Raw genomic sequence first — 6,000 nt, 5'->3', positions numbered from 1 at the left:
TCCTAACTTTCTTCCTATTATGTTAAAATCCAGAAACGTCCTCCTTCAAAACTTAGTCGTTTAATGTGACAAACTCCTGGTGAGCACTTCCTACATGACATGTAATTCATGTAGAAAGATAAAACGCAGGCATCGTTCTCAGGGACCTTGGAGTCTGAGTGGGACATTATTAAGTATCTCTACTTGATCACTTACACAAGCAATAAATCAACTCGGGGACACAGACCCTTGAAGTAAATGGTGTGGAAGCCCGGAGGAGGAGGAGCTAATTCTGATTTGGGGGCCAGAAAGGCCTGCAGTAGAGGTGACACTTCATTGGAAGCCCAGATTAGGGTCCTGAAAGATGAATAGGAGTTAGGCAGGAGGAGGCAGGAGAGCAATGGGTGGAGGGCAGTGGGTGATACAGCCAGAAGAAGAGATACATGCAAGCTTCAGCTCCTATAGTAAAAATGTAATGATAATGGTGATGATGGTGGTAGTGGTGATGATGGTGATGGTGATGGTGATGTTGAGGGTGATGATAATTATAATGGTGATGGTAGTGATGATGATGACGATGGTGATGGTGATGATAGTTGTGATGATGGTGATGATGGTGGTGATGACGATGGTGACTCTTCTGAAGAAAGGCAAGATGACAAATCAGGAGAAAGAGAAGAGCCAGAGAAGTCCAGGGATGGAGGCCTCTCTCATGTTTCACTGCAGGCACAGCTCTGCACTAGGTCAGCTCTGAACCAATCAGAATGACCAGTTGGGCTGGCCCCTTTGAGGTCCACTGGCATCAAGCTGCTGCTCTTCAAGGTGAACTCTGGAAACTACCTTTTTTGGAACCCAGTCTCCAACCTGACGCTGCCTAAATTAATTTAAACTTGATGCAAGAGAGTGACAGCCCTTGGGAAAATGCTTGCTTTCACTTTGCTGGGTCTAAGTTTCCTCATCTGAGAAGGAGGATATTTGATCTCTGAAGTCCCCGATGACCTCTGATTTTTGCCAGCTCCTCTGTCTCCTGCCTGCCTCCAGAGCTTCTATCTCAGTTCCTGTCTGGCATCTTTATGGTCAATGCTGGAAGAAATAAAACAACACACATCTTTGTTTCCTGCTGTGTGGGAGGCAGGAAATGGCCTAACTCCCTAATTGCCATGAGGTTCTTGTGGTGTGTCCAGCTGCCCACTCCTTAGCACACCCCCACCCTCCCAGGTGTCTCAGCCAGAAAGGAGGGCACGCTCGGCCATCAGAAGCTGGAATCCATTCACCACAACCACCAGTTGCCAACCACACCCCTGGCTGTGTGGAGTATAAAATAAGTCAAGATGTGGGTAGAGGTAGCATTTGCTGAGCCTCCTCTGAACACAAGGCGGATGGTCAAGCATGGCTGAGGAAGGTTTTCTGGTCAAGAATCTAGGCTGGGCATCATTCTCCCAGTGACCACACGTGGACAGAACAAGAGCAGGTATGAGCTCCAAGGGAGAAACTGATGTACAAGCCAAATTTGGGCCTCTGTTGTCAGTCCAAATGAGCTAGACCAGAAGAGAGAAACCAGTTGAGAGTGAGATAGTCAGGAACTAGGAAAACCAGCGGAGATCTGGGGTCAAAGCAATTGGAAGCCAAAGTCTGGTGCTGCTGGAGCTGTGGCCCCAAGCACAGGAGTTGCTGTTGATAAACCAACCTGTAGACCTGTCCTGGGCAGGAGGCTATTGTTAAGGAAGACTTCCTGGTTGGCAGAATTCACTGGGCACCCTATGTTGGTGTCTTTCCTAGTGGAAGGCAAATGGGGTTCCTTTGCTTCTCGGTTTCTAATAGAGGCAAGATGAGAATTGCAAGACAGGACCCCTCATCACACATCAGATCCTACCTCCTGACTCTGGGAAGAATGACTCTCAACCCATGACATTCTCGTCATGCCTTTTTTTAACGTAAATCATGCAATCTCATGGCTATAAAAAGATCTTAATCAATAATGCACTGCAGAGATGAGTGACGAGGCAAGGTCTCGTAGTGAGTGGCACAGTTAGAGCTAGAGCTCAGTCCCAGGTTCCCAGCAGCAAATAAGGGGATGGCTCTTGTGTCTGCCTCCCCAAGCCTACAGAAAACTTTGTGTCTGCCTCCCCAAGCCTACAGAAAACTTTGGTCTGCCTCCCCAAGCCTACAGAAGACTAAGAAAGATAAATGGAAGTCCACTAATAAACGAGAGGCATGAACAAGAACCGCCTGCTTTAGAAAGTACACCTTGCCTTGGAGTGGGCACGTGGTACTTGGTAACCACATGCTATCTGGCTCCTCTGCAGGCACTGCAGGTCTGCCCCAGCAGGGCCCTTTCCAGCGCTTCATGAACAAGAGGTGGAGAAGAGACTAGCCGGCTGGAAGGAGCGCCGCAGTCTCTAAGGAGACATTGACGTGCACAAGTACTATCAGTCTTGGCTGGTCTTCACCCCTTTCCAAGCCCTCACCACCATGGTGAGCCCTTCTTTTGTAATATGTTTTGAAGTCTTTTGGTGGGACCAGTGGCAACCCAAATTCTTTATCTTTTGAGAAGTGAATTAGTTCTGGCTGCAATCATGCTGAGAAACATACGACCCTAAAACTGAGTGGCTTGCAATAGCAAATATCAATGCTTCTCAGTCATAAGAAGGTGAGAAGCATTCTCTTCCACTTCTGTTCACTGCAAGCTCACAGAGCAGAAGAAAGTCAAGAGCTGAGAACAATAATCTCATCTGCCACAGGAGACTAAATCTAGCCCACTGAAGGTCAGTGACCTGAGGTTTAGGGAAAAATCTGAGAGCAGACAGCTGCAGCTGTGTTGTTCAGAGACACAATCATTTCAAGGAGAGGAGGAGATCTGGGGAAAAGGGAGGTTTTTGTGATATAAAGGAAAATGGTTCTGGTTCCCATTCCTCTGTCTCACCTGTGATTTTCTGTACCCAAGTCAATTCAGGCAGGGCTATTCTGAAGTTCATTTCTTTAAGACTATTACTATTATGTTTTTGCTATACTTTCTATATATACATTCTTGTGATTCTAAAATTTGAGCATGCATGTGAATCACTTGGAAAGCCTGATTCAAATGCAGATTCCCAGGCTTGTAGTCATTCCACTTTGGATGGTCTTGAGTGGGGCCTTTAAATTCCCTTTTTTAATAACTCTCTATTCACCACCTTTATGCATTATTACTCAGTCAGTGCTTCCCAACCTTGTGCATGTCATAGCACACACAGAAAATGGCACATTTTGGAAGGCACACTGGAGTGAAATGAGAAGGTTGCTAATGGGGCTAGACAACCAGTGCCCTTGAGTCTGAAGGGAGCCAGTTTGTTAGCCCCCTGTAACCCATCCACAGCTCAACGATGTGCACTGCAACCCTGTCAGGAGCTCCTGCTCATCAGCACTTCTCATCCTTTTCTGAACATCAAAATCACCTGGGTTATTAGACACACTAATGTCCAGGCCTCACCCTAGACCACAGCTTATATCTTAAGCTCTGGGGCTGAGTCCCAGCCATCACATCAACATGTTTTAAAGTTCCACTGGTAGGGTGACCACTCATCCCAGTTTCCCAGGACTTACTTTCACACCTTTCCCAGGACTTTCCAACTTTTAGCACTGAAAGTCCTGGTTTTAAAACTGAAAGTCCCAGGTCCTTGGAAACTGGGCAAACGATGGTTGGTCACCCTATCCACAGTGACTCCAAGGTATAGCCAAGTGTGAGAACCACTGCTCTCTGAACTTTCTAGAAACTAGCCCCAATTCTTCATATCACAGGTAGTTGCTGCCCATCTACCCAATCCCTGGCCAACATTCCTTGCACATGTGCATGTGCGCAGCCCAGAGCTCTGCATTCTTGAGAACCCAAGAATGGAAATCCCAACTCTTCCCTCAAGGAGCTTCTCATCTGCTAGGGAAACTGAGTCACATGCCAAAATCATGCTACAAACACAAATACAATTAAATGTGAATGAGAGAAAGAGCTCCATGAGTTGCCAGACCCACAAGAAGAGGGTTATCCAAATTTGAGCTGCCATCTGCTAAATCCAACTCCAGAAGGTCTTGCTAAAGAACAAATTATCCCGATAGAGACATTTTCTCCCAGTCACAGTGACACTTGGAAACAGCAGTTGTCCCATGTATTGTGAGTAGTAGTACCCATGTATAGAGTTCTTACTACATATTAGGTATAACGCTAAAGACTTCACACATACTTCATCCTCATGACCTCCACCATATTACCATCATACACATTTTATAATGAGAAAACAAAGTCAGAGACATGTTAAGTAATTTGCCCCGAATTCTTATTAGTCACTGGCAGAACCAGGATTTGAACCTGGTATTGTGGAACAGGTGCTTCCAATCCCCACGCTCTATTTTATTGCTATTATTCTGTGCCTCATAGGACATGCAAAGATTGGTGCTTCCCTGAGACCTGCCCACTAGTCACCACATGCAGAGAATGGACACTTCATGCCTCACTGATGTGAACCTCCAGGACTGACCCTTGTCTTCCACAGAGCTGGATTTGTGAAAGGATGACAGCAACCACAGGAAAAAGAAATCAGTGAGCCACATTAAAACGCCTTTATTCCCTGCAACAGTTAAAGCAACAAAATCTAATGACATGAAATAAACACTGCAAAACTGCATTCTGACCCCTTGCTGCAAGGTTTTTCATTAAAACAATTAGAGCCCATGGCCCCAAGAATGCTGAGACACTTTCAAACTTGACAACATTTAGATAACTGGAGGAACACCAGCATCATGCCTCTGTGTGAACATTTCGGAGAAGGTGAAATAAATTAGGACCTGCAATACAATTGGAACTGAATCCTCAATAAAAACACTTTCCTCAGAAGTGTGAATATGGGCTGAGGAGATGGTTATATTTTGATGAATCAAGGACCCCACTCTTTGCATTTTTCTGTTCTACCATCCTCAGAGTACTGGATGGTAACCTCAGGTTTTGCTCTTCATGGTCATAAGATGGCTGCCACTGCACCAAAAACCACATGCTCAAAGGGTACATCAAACACTGGAAGGTTGATGCTTTTCCTCATGTTGCACATGCACACACACACACACACACACACACACACACACACACAAAGAAGGAGAACATCTCCCAGGAACCACTCAGAAGATTTCCCAGCAATTCTTGGCCAGGATAGGGTGGCTCGCCTATTCCCTAACTACAAAGGAAGCTGGAAAAACAAGTACTGGGCATATACTGGGAGGCTAGTTCTACCATCAGGAAAAGAAAGCAAGAAAATGGCTGATGGAAAAGCGATTAATATCTGCCCCCAGTGGGAGATTCAGTAGTTTGCATGTCAGATCATTACAATGAGAAATTTTTATTTATGCTGAGTGAAAATCTGCCTTTTTATAATTTCTAAGCATCAGTCCCAACACTACACCTCTGAGAAGGTGGCTCCACCCTAAATAGTTTTTATTTTCCTTTGACATTTAAAAGTAATACATGCCAATAATAAAAATTGCTGAAAGGTATAACAAGAAAATAATTACCCAAAATCTTACCATTTAGAAATAAGTTGTGTTTGCATCTGAGAACTTTCAGACCTTTTTTTCAATCTCTTGTCCCTATTTATAGTGTTGAGGTTGTCTTTGGGCTGAGAACTCTTTTCCATAGTTTTTATTAGGGAGTCTTCTTGGAACCATTGCCCCATAACTCTCAAAGGATCATCCAGTCCACTTCTGGGTCCTGTGGTCCACTTCCAGGTCCTGTGGTCCACTTCTGGGTCCCCTTCCAGGAGGCTACGGTTACAGAGGCTATGGCATCCATTTGCATTACAACACTGTACCCAGGCGAGTGCCCATCCTCCCCTTGCTACAAACTTCTGCACAGACTAAACAACCCCCCAAAACAAAAATAAAACCTATTCATTCTTTTTTAAGAAAATCATTAACCTTTTTACTAGATTCATGGAAAGCTTAGCCTTTTTCTTTTTTTAACATCATCATATTTATTTCTGAACTACATGATACGCGGAAGAC

General features: G+C 44.9%; 1 long non-coding RNA gene across 1 annotated transcript; it reads left to right on the top strand.

Annotated features, from left to right (window-relative positions):
• The first annotated feature begins 1,324 nt into the window (after positions 1-1,324).
• Positions 1,325-4,634, top strand: LOC124904049 (uncharacterized). The gene is made up of 2 exons (XR_007065887.1): positions 1,325-1,450; positions 4,388-4,634. It is a non-coding gene; the product is annotated as an uncharacterized LOC124904049 (long non-coding RNA).
• Positions 4,635-6,000: the final 1,366 nt, after the last annotated feature.

Source organism: Homo sapiens, chromosome 17, assembly GCF_000001405.40.
Source record: "Homo sapiens chromosome 17, GRCh38.p14 Primary Assembly".
Lineage (NCBI taxonomy): Eukaryota > Metazoa > Chordata > Mammalia > Primates > Hominidae > Homo > Homo sapiens.
The sequence above is the reverse complement of the archived record's forward strand: the minus strand, read 5'-3'. Positions and strand labels throughout refer to the sequence as shown.